The following is a 16432-nucleotide window of genomic DNA, read 5'->3' as shown; positions in this document are numbered from 1 at the left end:
GCATTTAGTTCTGGTGGCCACTCATGAAATATGCAAAGTGGGTTTTGTTCTCCCCATTTGAAAGATGAGACAACTGAGGCTCAGAGAGGTTAAACCACTTAGTCAAGTTTACGAAGCTGGTGAGGGGTCAGGTCTGCATTTAGAGTTGGACTTTGGACCCTAAATTCTCACTTTTTGTTGTACTCTGCCAGGCACAGCAGAAAGCCAGGGTAAAGCCTCCCTTTACCCTCTAAGAACCCTCAGAAGTGCATCTGGACCTTTCCTGCCTAGCACTTTTTTTTTCTGAGATGGAGTCTTGCTGTGTCACCCAGGCTGGAGTGCAGTGGCATGATCTCAGTTCACTGCGACTTCCACCTCCTGGGTTCAAGTGATTCTCCTGCCTCAGCCTCCCGAGTAGCTGGGACTATAGGTGTGTGCCACCACGCTCGGCTAATTTTTGTGTTTTTAGTAGGGACAGGGTTTCACCATGTCTGCCTACCATGTTTGTAAGAGTCCTGAATGAACTTTAAGAATCACAGATGCCCCTGCAGCAGCTGCCAGCAGTACTCACCCACATCCCCCCATCTCCCTGAGGTGCTATTTTGGTGGGTGCCAGCTGCCTCCCAACAGCCATTCCTGCCTCGTTGCCTTAGGACTTTCTCCTAAACCAAAGAAGTGCCAAGAAATGAACAATTCTAGAAGCTGTTCTCCACCAGTGACTCTGAGGAGTGGGTGAATAAACCCCCCAGCTCCCTTGCCCCTCGGATGGAGTCATTCTGAGACAGAGGCTGTCCTCTGTTTCCCAGAGCTCCCACTATGGGAGTCAGCCCTGATTGCCCACTGTGGTAATAGTCTTGCTAGCACAGCCGCTGTGGGCTGCCTTCCCTCCTTCTTCCTCTCCACTCTCATACTGCTCCCCCTCAATAAACTCTTCACCCTGGATCCTCCTCTTAGAAATGAATAGTTTCTGAGGGACCTAAACTGTGATGAACAGAGAGACTGATTCAGCTTTCCAGGTAAGCCCTTCCACAGTAGGATCTGGAAGAACCCTTCCTTCCCTCAGGCATCACCTAATTTTCCTAACATAGAGCCTGAAACACAATGGTCAAGATCAAGGGGATTGGGTGGTGATACTTTTGCTCCCAGGAGCTCTGTTTGAATAACCTTGAGAAGCCTCGTTCATTAAGACATCACCACATTATCCCCAAGTTACCTATCTAGGTCCTGTGGGGATAGTTTGTAGGAGACCCTAGCAGTGGTCTTCTGACACGGTCCTGTTTCCGTGGTGTAAATACTGCCATCATGGCTGATTTCAAGCTACCAACGTGGCATCGCCAGAGGAAGCTATGAAGAGCTGCACATGATAGCTTCTCTGGAGGCTATATGAGTTGGCTCCAGCACCCTACTGTCCCTGGGGGCGTGGGAAGGAATTTGCAGAAAAGGGAAGACTGGTTCTAGCAGAGGGAGCAGTGTCCTGGTGCTGGGAGCCTGAATTCGGAATGGTTGCCATACAAGGTGAGAATGAAAGACGTGGGAGACATCAAGAACTGATGGGTTCATTGATTCATTCCACAGAAAGCCCTCTGCTAGGTGTTAAGGAGCACAAGTTGAGTAAGATACAGTTTCTGCCCTCAGGGAGTTAAGGGGGAGGCATACACATCATAGAATATACCCCCATGCTGTCATACAGGTACTAAATTTGGCTGAGGGTAGGCTTCTTGGAGGAGGTGATGGTTGGTTGAAAGCGCTGGCCTTAGAAGAAGGACCTTGGACAAGGTCTGATATACTTGGCTGCTCCAACATCCTTGTAACTTTCTTCTGGCTGTGTGGCCCCCTTTCTTCTGATTCTCCCTGTCCCTGGCTGGCCCTTCCTCAGTCTCCTTCAGTGAATGTTTGTTTCTTCCCCCATCCAACATCACGACATGTTCTAGGCCCTCTCCTCTATCTACACTTACCTTCTTACGTTGTTACTTGCAGTTAATGCTCTTGACTCCCGAATTCATATCTGCAACCAAGACCTTGCCTCTGAACTTCAGACCTATCATTTCCACTACCTACTTAATATCTCCATTCAGGTGACCCGCAAACATATCAAACTTTATTTGTCCTAAATGGAACATTTGGTATGTCATCTTAAATGTGTTCCTCATCTCCCAGCTTGTCTCCCCATCTCCATGAATGGCATCACAATACACTTAGTTGCCCAAGCAAAGAATCACATGTTACTTATGATTATTCTCCTTCTCATTCTCTCCATACAACTGTCAGAAAATCTTATTAATTCTTCCTTAAAAAGAATCTCTTTTTGTCATCAGCTCCTTGACCTGTCTCCCCTCATCCACTCTTGCCTCCTATGCATTTAGAAAGAGCATCCAGTGTAATCTTAAAATGTAAAGTGAATCATGCCATTGCCTTGCTAAAATCCTCAATCGTAGTTATAATAACACCTGAAAAGTTTGCAATAGCTTACAAAATCCTTGCCTTTCCCGACTTACTTCCGCATGAACAGCTGTTTAGGGGCTAAAGTTAAACTAATTGCCAGGTCCTGTTATTTTTTTCTGTAGTCTCTTGCTTAGCTTTCCACTGATCTCCAGTTTTACCGCTACTGTGGAGGCAGAGTGAACTGCTGGTCTCACCTCCTCTCCCTGTAATAGGTTTTATGTCCACACACTTTCCATAGCCTCATGGTGGGTGGATGCATTTTTCTGCTTCCTGATTTGGGGCTTGGCTGTGTGATACTCTTTGGCCAATGGTGTTAGCTGACCTGATATGAGCCTGAATCCATAATGTGTTTCCGAAGCTGGGTGCGTCTTCTTGTGCTCTTGCTTTGAGAAGAGCAAAACATGATGTGTCTTCTTTGAGACACATCATGAGAAGACTGTGTCTTGAGAAGCCAGTGGTCCAAAGAGAATGAGAGGCACATGGAGCAGACTCATATGAAGCCTGCAGCCAAGCCCAGAGCAGCCACACACTTGTCAGCCACAAAGGTATGACTGAGATATATACGCTAATGGATGCATGCCTTTTGTTACTTAGCATTAGGGTAACCATAGCTAACAGATACAACCATCCTAATCCAATCACCCTATTCTCTCTCTCCTGCAAATGCCCCGTAGCTGAACTTGTTGCCATCAGTCTTGTCAGGCTCCAGTGCTTTCTCTACGGAATTGTCAGAACGTCCTTTCTAAAAGGCACACATGACCGTACCTCTCCTTCTCATGTACCCTTTATTCTTTCCATTACCATGGCCTTTACCATGCAGCTTCTCTGTCTCTAGTTTCATTTCTGCCACTTTGTTTCAGTTCCCCAACTCCTCACCCCTCCCATACTCCCCCCAGCCACAGAAGCAGCCCTTGGGTGCTTCAGTGCAACAAGTTTTCCCATATCTTGGTATTCTACAAGCTCTTATTTCTGTTTGGAAATAAATTTTCTCACCTCTCTCCACCTGCTTGTCCTGATAATCTTGGATTCTCAGAATAACTGTCATTTCCTCCCCAGCATTCCAGATCCCCCAATCACTGCCACACACTACCTAAACTTCTGTATAGGCAGCCCTTAGGAGAGCAGGCATCACGTCTTGTTTTGGAATTGCTTGTGCAAATCTCTCCTTCCATAGCTGTAGGTCCAGGAGCATAGGCCTCTGACTGTCTTGCTTACTGCACCATCTCCAGTGGTTACCAGCATAGCACATAGTAGGCACTCAATTAACACTTTGTCAAAGAAAGAATAAACCAGGCAGACAGTGTGGGGTGAGAATATTTCTGGACAGCTCTTCTTTTTGTCTCTGTTGTTTCTGGACTCTGGTGGTCTCTTGCTTGGAGAGAGAGAGACAGACACCCTCCCTCCATTGCATCTCAGATTTATTTTACATTTCTAAGCCCTAGCTAGAAATATGAGTTTTGCCCTGGCTTCCTGGAGCCTGCATGGTGACTTTCTCAGCTCTCTTAAAGCTTGTGGAACAGACGTTCATCACCATAATGGAACAAGAAGTGCTCATTTTCCAAACTTTGACTTTTAGAAAGATTTCTTATTTTGGGCACTTAGGTAACTAGCTGCCTTCTGAGCAAGCCACAGAGTATTAAGAAATGTCAAAATCTGTAAAACTGCATTCATCCTTCCCTGCCAAATGCTTAAACCTAATGCCATGCACAAAACAGCCATCCGGATGGTAATTATCAGATAATTATGACTTGGAAATCCCATCTAGATGAGATGAAAAAATTGCTCAAAATTGTTGGCAGGTCCCTTGTGAGGTTAGGAGGGCCATTAAACCCACAGTAGCTGCTCGGTTCTGATGTCAGAGATGCAGAAAGATGTCATGCGGTCACTACCATGCTACATGAAAGAGGCTTTTGAGTGTCGTTTTGGAAATAAAGCCTCTCATAGGAAAAGCTTGTGGTGGAGAAGAGGGCAGATCAAAATGCTCTCAAGCAAATAAGCCCTAGATTTGCTTTTTCATGAACCTGGGATTATTTTTCCAAATAACGTCTGCATTTCGGCATGAGCTCCATGGTGATGTCCCCCACCCTGCCCAGTGTGGCTGAGCATGAGGAATCGACCACTTGAAGACACCCAAAGAGAGCCAGGGAGGGACCAGGGACTGAACAAAGGATCCAGAGAGGTTCCTCCAACCATCAGACAGAAAATCCCTGTAGAAATATCAGTTACCATGGCCCAGGACAGCAAGGAGTGCAGCCCCCATTATGCCTGTTGGTACTTTTAGGATAGAAAACTGGGGATCAGAATTTCCTCCCCTTCTAGCTCTTCACTTCTTTATATAAAGTTGAAGAAGCCACCTAAGCATTAATAAGCAGACCCTGCCCTGTCTTTTAGCAAAGATTCAAACTCAGGGATGGATCTGGTCTGAAATTTCTCCTCTGAGCCCAGAGTTATGCATGGGTGACTGCTGTGGCATGATTTGCTTTGGCAATAGTTGTCAGTGCTTTGAGGAAAGCACTCCTCTCTGCCTCTTTCTGGCTGTGTGATTTAACCGCTGTGCCTTGGTTTCCTAATCTGCAGAACTGAGCTAAGAACTATATTGGATTTAGCATGAAACCTGAGCCCTGTGACCAGTCTTGGTGGCCCAGTGTGACCCCTGCCCACCTTACTCTGCACTACCTCTGCCCAGCATGTCTCCTGTTCTAGGACACATCCTGCCTCGACGCCTTTGCAAGTACTGTTCCTTCTCAGAATGCTCCCCTGCTCGCCACACACCCCTCTCTTCCCATGGCTGGCTCTTGTCACTCATGACTCCACACAGAACTTAATCTCCTGTTCAGTAAATACAGAGTGACATCTGCACCTCTCTCTCTAAAACATCACTTCAACTCATCATCTGCATAAGGCAGATGTCCTCTGAAGTTAGTGCAATCAGGCATTTGTTCACGTATGTACTGTCTATCCTTCCCCACTCAATGTATACTCTAAGAGGAAAGGTCTTGTCTACCTTGTTCACTTCTGAATCCCTATTGCCTTGACAAGTTCCTGGCATATAGTGGGTGCATAATAAGCCCTGGTTGAAAGAATAATCATTCCCTTACATAGGCGTTGGAAGGATTAGATGAGACCATGCGAATACAGTGTTCCTACAGTGCCTGGTGCAGAGTAGATGCTCAGTGAATTCTAGCTATTCTTTTTGCTGTTGTGCTTGCCCCCCTACTCTCTTCTCAAGTCACCCTACTGCTCTGTTCTTCTTTGCTCACACATGTTCCTCCATCCATCTATCCATCCATCCATCTCTCCATCCATCCATCCATCTCTCCATCCATCCATCCATCCATCCAACAAATATTTGTGGAATATGTTCCAAGTGCCAAGCACTGCGCTAGGCACAAACAAAATAATAAATGCATAGAGGAGCACAGTTCCTGTCTTCAGGGAGGTCACTTCTCCAGGGGGAGACTCAGACCAAGGGGTAAAGGTAAGCACTTTGATGAGAACTGCTGAACACAGGCATGACATCTGGTCCAGGCTTGGGAAATCCCAGTTCAACATCTATATTGATACCTGAAGGATGAGCTAGAGAAAGAAAGAAGCCCTTGGTTGGGGCCCCTGTAACCCCCTCTGTGAGGTAGTCTGGGTTCAGAGTGCCATTTTCTGGGAACCCCAGCTTCCAAGCAAACCAAAAGGCATTGTTTGGTTGGGCCAAATACTGTTACTATTTTGATCTAACATTATTAGTCAAAGAAGCATAGTCTGTACAAGCAAAAGCTTCTGGAAAATTAAAGTCTACCTTTCTATAGGCTAGTTCCTTAACTATTTTTGATGAAATATTTCACTTTGAAATAGATCATACACTTGATGCTTATCCTAGAGGATATGAGATCTAACTTAACTTTTTCTTGAATGACTCAGGATCACCACCATTAATATAAATTATTTAACTGGGCTGACACATGGCAAAGATCTCAGGAGTTATTGATGTACAAAGGGATTGCTTGCTGCTGCAGTTGAAAAAATAAAATTTATTCTCTATTTAAACAAATAAAATGTCCTTCTATGTGTCAGATGGATACTGGTGCAGTGTGAGTGGCAGACATTAAGTGGATGAGGTCTTAAACTCAGATTCTAACAGCAGAGAGAGATGTGGTTAATAACTGTGAAACAAGGAAGAACGTGGATGGGCCAGCAGGGATGTGGAAAGAGATTATGTGCAGTGTGAGGATGTATTTGGGCAGAGCTTAGAAGGATTAGAAGATTTAGGATGTGGGGAGCATTTGGGGTTCTTCTCTTCATAGGGATTCTTCCCTTATTAAATGCCCTCTCAAGGAAGGAGAGCAACTACTTGAGTAGAATAAGGAGAATGCAGAATATTAAAGCATGCCACTAGGATCTGGGGCTGATTTTATGACCCTCACTCCCCGATTCAGTTCACCAGGTTGATCCTTCCCTGTTTCTTGTTCATTTACATTTTAGTCTTGACTCAAGATAAACTTTTCCAAATAGTGGAAGTTAGCATTACTTATGAAATGCAACATTCACAGCTTTAACCAAATCATGGCTTCCTAGTAGTTCCTAGGTTGTGATTATTACTGAAAAATAAGCTAACCAGAAATTTTTCCATTGAATTTTTAAAGCTCAAAATGAAATCTCCTTTTCAACAGACGGTGCTGAAACAACTATATATCTATGTGCCAAATAATAAAATTGAATCCCTACCTCACACCATATATCAAATGGAATCTCCTTGACTTCCCTGGAGTTCATAAACTGTTTATTGATTATATTACTGATTTTCTACTTTCAAAAGAGTGGTCTGCATTGGATGTTTGTATCCCCAGCATAAAATGATTTTTTTTTTTTTTGCACTTATTACAGAAACAGCAGCATTTGGATGGAAACACAACATGACACACCTTTCTCCAAAGTCTTCCTAACCAAGTCTCCCCCAAGAGGACTCTTGTGCATGTCATGGCTATTGATCATAATAAGCCAGAGTGGTTTCTTCTCCTGCATTTCCCCCTTGACTTCAAGGATAAAGTAGATCTTCAATTTCAAGACTTAATGTGGCCCTTGTATAATTCCAGCAGAATGACCAGAGTGATCCAATTATGTCATCTTCAGGTGAAAAACATGAATTTGGACCAAACATCCACTAAAGCCTGAATTTTTGTTTTCATGATGTCACCGTGTCAGTAGACATTGAGATCTGGAAAGAGTATACTTTCATAGCTCTGGGAATTACTGATAGAAGAATAATGTTTAATTTTTTTTGTTCTCTAAAGAGTATTGGGAAAATGTCAGAAGGGGAGGAAAGGAGGAGAGATCATTAGGAGAATGATTTATGGTGTGCTGAATCGAGTTGGAATTTCAGGCCTGATATCCATGTCTAGTCAGGAAGATTTCAAAGTTAGTAAGATAAACTGGTTTGCTTCTGGGGTGAGTTTTAGTTTTGTTTTGAAAGTTTTTGATTTCACCTTCTATGATTGTCCCCTTTAATCAAAGTAAAATAAGAAATAACATCATGGATCTGAAGGACATTGAAAGTTTCTCATTCTCTGCTCCTGCCTGTCCCTCCCTCACTGGAGAGTCATCCTGGTGAAAATATATTATTCAGGGATGAATTCTTCAGGTTGTTTAGAGCCCAGGTTTTTTTTTCTTCTTCTTTTTGATGTCTGTTTTTTAGCCATTGTCTTCTAGTCCTCAACAGAGGGACAAAAAGCAGTTAAAATTCAGATAGTTCTGATTTTTAATTCCTCATAACTTTGATAAGAGGTCAATGGGGAAGTGAAACAAGCTGAGGAGTAAACCAGATGGACTGCCAACGGGTTCATCAGACCCCTGCATGCAGCACTCTGAGTTGGGCTGAGGAGTATCTTCATTGGCATCCTTGTCACGTATGACTGAGTAGAGACAGAAAGCCACTAAATATTTTTTAAGGAAGTTAGGTTGTGTTAACTGCGAAGCTTTTGTTCAGACCATGATATGCAAGTTTGAGTTCAGAGCTGAACTTCTTGATAACAAGAGAAGACTGCATTACTGAAGGAACCAGTAATCTCCCATCTCCACCCTTTGCTCATGAAGCATTTATCTCATCTTGAAAATAAATGCTGAATTAATGTTTTTTTTTAATAAAAATATGTTTCGGGGGGCACCAAATTACGAGGTTATTCATGCCCTCGTGTCTCAGCCTGGACCTGAAGTGTCCCTCTAATTCATGAAAGGTAACTTTCACTGCTGGTGAAAGTGAATGCAAAGGCCATGGAAGAGCTAAACATGGATTCCCATTTATTCAACATGCTTTTCATGGCTTGAGTATGTGCCTGCCCCATACTGTGTGCCATGAAGAAGACAGACATGTGAAAGGCTCAATGTCAGCCCTCATGGGGCTTCCTGTGGTCAGGATATGAGGGTGTCATAAAGCTGTCCCAAAACTTCAGGAATGAATCTGGACAAATAACCATGTAAAAAATATTGTCATTCTGGAAAACAATCTTTTATATAACTTTTCTAACACTGAGAAAAATCATCTAAAGAAGAACTTGAAATGTTAACTTGAAAAGTATAGATTTAGGTAAAACTCTAAAACCTATAGGTTAATGTACAAAGATGTCTGTGGTGTCACTACTTACAACAGTGAAAGGTTTGAATCAACATAAGTGTCCAAGAGCAGCAGCATGATTAAGTACACTTTGGAATATACTGTAATAATAGGTCACCTTGAAGATGATGTTTCCAATGAGATTTTGAGGAAAAAACGTTTGATATAACAGGAAGTATAAAAAGCAATGTATAAAATTGCCTACATAGGATGATCTTTGCTATACAAAGTAACCTAGAGAAAGAAAAATATGCTGAAATGTTAACAATAGTTATCTATGGATTAGACTCTGGGTGATTGTCATTTAATCCTCTAGAGCTACAGGGTCCAACAGTCAGCCACAAGCCACATGTGGCTATATGAATTTCAGGCACAACACTAACCTAATTACCTGGATCCTTCTTGCATCCAAGTGGGTACATGTAACTTATGTGGACAGTGGGATGGGAACAGTTGGGACAGACACCACTTCCAGGCCTCATCAGAAAGTGATCTACACAATATTCCATGCCCTTGCCTTCTCTGCTTTCTGTGTAGCTATGGGAGAAGGACTTCAAGATGGTAGAACCACTGGATGGACTGTGCCACAAACCCTGAGTTTCTGCTTGGAAGAGACATGAGAGCTGCCAGGATGGGAACATCTGCAGTGGAATTTGAGTAAAAAACCAATCCCGTGTTGGGCTACTCCAGTGGAATTTTGGGGTTTTTGGTAATACAGTAGCTAGCAACACTTATTCTGAAAAATAAAACCATAATTTGACCTTCTCTGCGAAAGTTGTTGACACAGCAGGCCTGGTTATTTAATCCTTGCATACCTCCAGGAGAGTCCTGAACCATGGTTGACCTTTGGCCAACCCCTGTGAATGTGACCCTTGGGATGCTACAATTGATGACATTGGTTTGTACCCCAGAAGCGATAGGCCATGCTGTACCAATTTGTCACGATCATTTCCCAAACTTTATAATGTCTACCTGGTATCTATGCTGGGGTTCTGAGATTCAGGCATCATGGCTGTTCATGCAGCAGGAATGTGCCTACTTGACCAGCCCTCCCCAAAAGCCTCAGCCTCCAGTGGACTTCCCTGGATAGAGACATCTCATGCATGTTTCCTGCAAGGGAGAAAGCACTTCCTGTGTGACTCATTAGGGAAGGAATTAGAGGCCTGCAGCTGACCACGCTGGGCTTCTCCTGATGCATTTCATTTTCCAGCTCCTTTTATCCCATATCCTGTGCTATAATAAACCTTAGCCATGAATGTAATCTGTGAGTACTCCTGAAACCCTGAATTAGAGGATGGTCATAGGATGCCCAAAATAATTCCCACATAAGATATTTCTCCAGGAATATAGAGAACATATCATCCAAAATAAGCACATGCTTTCTGCACAGCCCTTATATATCTTACCATCTGTTACTACCATCTGTTGACATTCTATCCTAGACATCAAATTCTTGTGAATTTGGCTGATGTGAGTCAATTCATAAGAGCCTGACTGCAAAAGTCTCACCCTGTGGGCTGCAGAACTTAGAAGAGTTATTTGGAATTCTGTGACCCTCTCCCCCTCTCCCCGCCAGGGCGTTGCCCTTTCAGTGGCCAGCCTGGATGGCATCTCTCCAGTGTTTCTCTGACATGAATCACTTAGCCTGTAATAAGGTGAAGCAAGTCTAAGTACACTAAAGTAGGGGTTGGCAAGTTATGACCCATGGGCCAAATTTGGCCCACCAATTGTTTCTGCATAGTCCATGAGTGAAGAATGGTTTTTACATATTTAAATGGTTGGAACAAAAATCAAAAGAAGTGTTATATATCATGACATATAAAAATGATATAAAATTCAAACTTCGGTTTCTGTTAGGAAAGTTGTATTGAAACAGACATGCCCGTTTGGTTATTTATTGTCTATGGCCGTTTTTCTGCTACAGCAGCAAAGCTGAATAGCTGTATAAACATCCTCTGGCCCACAAAGCCTAAAATATTTAGTATTTGCCCCTCGACAGAAAAAGTTTGCTGGCCCCTGCTCTAAAGTCCTGAATGTCCCTGCAAGCCTGACTAGTAAGGCCTTTGACAAGGAGAATTTGTTTCCCCCTCAATATTACGATTTCTACACCCCTTTTTCCCCGAGACAAAGACCCTGTGGCCAAGGCTGTTAAAACACAGTCACGTAGCCCTGGATTTCAGGAGAAGTCCTGGAGAAAACCACTTACGTAGGATCCGTAATCCACAGCCAGGGTCTGCAGAGCCCAGGGGAGACCGAGGCCAATCAGGATGTCAAACACGTTGCTCCCAATGGAGTTGGACACAGCCATGTCCCCCATCCCTGCAGGGACAAGAGGTCACTTAAGAGAGGGAAGGGAACCCAGGGGCCCCACACAGGACTCTCCCAAGCCTTTAGTCTCACAGCCAGAGAGTGGTTCTGCAAGCTCACATATGTGCTTCTCTTTCAAGGCCATCACCCATGTGAAAGGATGACATGAATTATAAAACAGAGAAACACACGTTCTATTGAATGGTTGACCTTTACTTCAAATATCATCACTGATTGAATATAAGTGATTCAAAAAACCAAATACAGTGATAGGCTTTGTGTCTGTGTCCCCACAAAATCTCATGTGGATTGTAGTCCCCAGTGTTGGAGGTGAGGCTTGGCGGGAAGTGATTGGATTATGGGGGTGGTTTCTTATGAATGGTTTAACACCATCCCCCATTGGTACCGGCTTTGTGATAGTGAGTGAGATCTCGTGAGATCTGGTTATTTAAACATGTGTAGCACCTCCCCCCACCCTCTTGCTCCTGCTGTGTAAGACATGCCTGCTCCCCGTTCACCTTCCACCATGACTGGAAGTTTCCTGAGGCCTCCCCAGAAGCCGAGCAGATGCTGGCATGCTTCTTGTACAGCCTGCAGAACCATCAGCCAGTTAGAGCTCTTTTTTGATAAATTACTCAGCCTCAGGTATTTCTTTACAGCAATGTGAGACGCACTAATACAGATGGTTTCAAGGATTCTGGAGATTCTGAGACACCCTTATGGAAAGGAATAAACTCAACCATTCTAGAAAGTGACTCCCGAGCTCACACCTGCATACTGGGTCATCTTCCAACTGCCCTGTACTGTCTCCAGTCCTTCTTCGGAATAACTGAACAATAGTGTAGACAACAGTAGAGCTTCATGAGGATGTCTATGGGACACTGAGCTAAGTTTTGTAGCTCAACACACATTTGTTTGAAACAAATGCCCTCCAGCATAAATCAGGCAGATGCGTCAGAATGAGTGCTACAGAAGGGTGTGGCCATCTGGGGAATCTGTTTGGGAAGGTAAGCTGTGAGCCTGTGAGCTTGGCTTTGAAGGAGGGAAGGATCTGTCACACTCTGAAAACTGACCTCTGGGACCTGTCACTTAGAGGGCACTGCAGGTGGGTCAGCCTTAGGGATGAGGTTTGTCCTCTCTAAGCCTCAATTTTCTTGTCCATAAAATGGGGGTATGATTGTGCTTATTTCACAGAGCTGTTGTTTAAATCAAATAAGATAGTGCATCTATCATGTTTTACTCAGTAAAGGTTAGCTGTCAGTACATTTCCTACTACTTTGAATAATAGGAGGATGGTGATACAGCCTCCAGAAGGGGCTATGGGTGCTACCTAGGAAATGTCTTTGCTTTCCTCAAGGGTAGGACCTTCTGGATTATTTCTCTGTTCTTCTGAGCCCAGGAAACCTTTCAACCAACACGGCATCACCCTCCCTCCTTCCAAACCCTGTTAATTACCAGGTGGGTCCCCCAGGTAGAGAGGCCCGCCTGCCCGCCTGACTTCCTCCCTTCCTTCCTTCTTTCCTTCACTCCCTCCCTCCCTCTTTCCTTCTCTTCTCCCTCCCTTTCTCTTCTCCCTCCTGCCTTCCTTCCCTCCCTCCCTCCCTCCCTTCTTCCCTCCCTCTCCTCCTCCCTCCCTCCCTCCTTCCCCATTGCCACTGGAAGTCCCACCTTGTCTGGCCACAATGAGGCTGGCCATGCAGTCAGGCACGCTGGTCCCAGCAGCCAGGAAGGTGATCCCCATGATGACGTCAGGAATCCCCAGGGTGTAACCAATGATTGTGACCTAGAAGGAGCAGGAAGAGGTGGTCAGCTGAGGGTCACCTCAAGCCCCACCTGCCCATGATTCTTCTGATGGAGACTCACAACAGGCTATGGTCTGGGCTATCTCTGTGGGGTGCAATGTCTGCTCTCTGTATCAATACAGAGGGTGACAAACACTATGTGGATGCCGACCGGGGCTGCAGGTCAGGGGACGGTGCTGTAATAGGACCCAAACTTTCCAACAAAACATTGGCCTTTTCACTTGTTCTCTTCCGGTGAGGCGGGTGGTTTGAGAAGAGAAAATAGAATTTCTGGGAAAAAGGCAATATTGGGACAGAATATTTGAACTACGGGTGGCCCTGAGGCATCCAGAATGGATGGATGCTTTGCTTGGAATTTGAGCGTCCATGTCAGGGAGGATGCACAATGGGAATTTAGAAGAACTGCAAAGGGGCTGGATTTGACAGTATCCATACTTGTTAGAAAAGGCATAACTCTAAGGTTGGGCACGGTGGCTCAGGCCTGTAATCCTATCACTCTGGGAGGCCAAGTTGAGAGGATTGCTTAAGTTCAAAAGTTCTAGACCAGCGTGAGCAACATAGTGAGACCTTGTCTCCACAAAAAATTTTAAAAATTAGCTGGGCATGGTGGTGTATGTCTGTGGTCCCAGCTCCTTGAGAGGCTGAGGCAGGAGGATGGCTTGAGCCCAGGAGGTTCAGGCTGCGATGAGCTGTGATAGTGCCATTGTACTCCAGCCTCGGCAACACAGTGAGACCCTGTCTCACAAAAAAAAAAAAAAAAAAGAAAAGGAAAAAAAGGGGAAAGCCATAACTAGCATTTCCTTTTCTCTATTCCTTGAAGCTTGGTAGCAATTTGCTGTCCTTGTCAACATCTTCTTCACTATAATAGCTTCTGGGGACCATCATCTTAAGTGAAACAGCTCAGACACAGAAAGTCAAACTCCACATGTTCTCACTCATAAGTGGGTGCTACGTAATGTGTACACTTGGACATGGGGTGTGGAATGATAGGCAATGGAGTCTTGGAAGGATTGGGGGCAGAAATGTTGTGTTTCTACATCTCAATTTCCTCCCTGGAGACTGAAAAACAGGAAGGCCAGAGGCCACCTCAGTTTAAATTCAGCACGGAATGAAGTGGGGTGGGTGACGAGAAATTACTTAATGGGTACGATGAACATTATTTCAGTCATGGATACACTAAAGTCAGGACTTCGTCACTTCCATCACACAATATATCCATGTAACAAATTTACTTGTACCGCTTAAATTTATGCAAATATAGAAAAAGCAAATGCAAGCATGCTTAAAAAAACAAAAGCAGTTGATGAGGCAGATGATGAGGGAGCTGGTGGCAAAAAAAGAGGTAAGTGGAAAAAGAGACACATTCCCTGCATGTGGGCCCAAGGAGAAGATAACTCACAAGAGTTGAAACTGTCAGGTCATTTTAGGATGCCACTGGATCTCCCTCACTTGCCATAAAATTACAGGAAATGCAAAGCACATGTTGTAAGGAGCACATTCTTCTCACAGTTCCTCCTGGGCCAGCCCTTGAGAGACACCTACACCCGGAACCCTGACTTCACTCCAAAGGCCACAATCGCTCCTTCCCTGTTCAAAGATTGGGGGGATGTGAGTGAAATCCATAGAGATGCTTGCCTTGCCTCCTTTCAGACAGAGAATGCAGCTCATTTCTGTTCAGTACTGAGCAGAACTGAACAGAATTTAACCTGGGGTGGCCACAGGGCTTTCTGACTTCCGGTCTCCAGGGAGGAAAGTGAGCTGCAGAAACACACGCTGTTTCTATTTTGTCGCTCTGGATCAAATGGAGCTACCAGCGTCCTGGCCAAACCTTGTTTTTCCTTTTTAACCCTCAGCTCAGTCCCTGTAGGAACCTGGTTTGGCTCAGCCAGTCTTGGCCTCTGGTTCATCATTTTCATGATCATGTTTGTGGCTGGGTCTGGAGTTCAGGGGAGCAGACTGCTCAGGTGGCTGGGACCAGGTCTCCGGCTTCTCCTAGTTTTCTCCCTACTCCTGGGCATTGATTGGGACTTATTAGAACCTCCACTGGAGGAAAAGGAAGCAAACAGAAGGAAGTTGAACCTCAGATGAGTCAGGTCAGTTAGCCCGCTGGTTAGGGGGCTGCACAGAAAATCATGTAGCACCTTAAGGTCAGGGACAGCCAACACTGTCCCCCAAATCCAGATAGGAGGTGGCTCTTGGTGCATATGTCAGATGAAAACATTAGTGAATGCAGGATGAGGGAGAAACCCCTGGCTATAAAACTTGGGTTTTAAAAAAATGTTTGTGATATTGAGGAAAGAGATGATTATGAATTAGTTGTGTCAGGTTTACAAATTTGCAACCCATGTAGCAAAATTTTTCTGGGTATTTTTGTTCTTACCAAAATATCTTTTTCATAACCTTCTTTTTAGCTCTTGAGTTTAATTCTCCAGAATTTATATTACATTTCTATCCAACACTCAAGGCAAGATTAATTTGGATTTGCATCATTTTGCCATGCTTTTTAATTTCTGTCCAATCCTAATGATTTGGAATTTCTCCCCAGTTAAAAAGTATAGCCATAAATGGGTAATGCATTCTGGAAGGCTGGGTTTCCTAAAATGGCTTTGTTAAGGTCAAAGCCACTGAATCGATGTCAATCAACTAATATCAGTCAATGTCAATCAACCAATGTGAATCACTGAGTCATTATTTTAGCCTCAGAAGGGACCCTTGAGTGATCACCTCATACAATGCCTCATTGTCTGGCTGAAGAAACTAAGATGCCGATAGGGATTGATCATCATTTCCCAATTCTTTGTGCCTTTCCTCCATGTCCTTTGCCCTGTGACATGGCTGTTCTTCCCACTGGAGCAGGTGGAGTACACTTCCCCCATGCCATTGATGTGGGGCTTGGCCAGTAAAATGTGTGTGGACGTGATGGTAAGTCAGGGCCAGGCGAAGATCCTGGAGGCATTTCGTGTTTCCACGTACTCTCTTGCATTCTAATGATGCACTGTGAGAAGAGCATACCCCAGGTAGCTAGCCTCTGGTACAAAGAAAATGAGCAGACACGTGGAGTAGACATGGACCCCACCTGCTGCCTGAATCAAACATGACCACCCTGAAGCCTGAAGCAGAGCTGCATAGCAGGTCCCAGCTAAGATTAATGAATCCACAGTCAACATGAAGACGTGTGAGCAGGAGAATCGATGCCTGCAATTCTAAACTACTAAGTTTAGGAGTGGTTCGTTGTGCAGCTTATTGTAGCAATAGCTGACTAGTACAGTTATCGGCTGAAACCCTGACTCTTATTCCCTTCTTT

General features: G+C 44.4%; 1 protein-coding gene across 1 annotated transcript in view; it reads right to left on the bottom strand.

Moving 5' to 3' along the window:
* The window catches only part of SLC24A3 (solute carrier family 24 member 3), a 510285-nt gene that overhangs the window by 13021 nt on the left and 480832 nt on the right, over positions 1-16432 (bottom strand). Inside the window, exons 14-15 of the mRNA NM_020689.4 lie at positions 12995-13109; positions 11226-11338 (exon numbers count right to left, since the gene is read on the bottom strand). Coding sequence (NP_065740.2) covers positions 11226-11338; positions 12995-13109 — 228 coding nt within the window. The remainder of the gene's footprint in view (positions 1-11225; positions 11339-12994; positions 13110-16432) is intronic.

The sequence above is a fragment of the Homo sapiens genome, chromosome 20, assembly GCF_000001405.40.
Source record: "Homo sapiens chromosome 20, GRCh38.p14 Primary Assembly".
NCBI classification, from domain to species: domain Eukaryota; kingdom Metazoa; phylum Chordata; class Mammalia; order Primates; family Hominidae; genus Homo; species Homo sapiens.
This window is presented reverse-complemented; position numbering and strand designations above follow the sequence as displayed.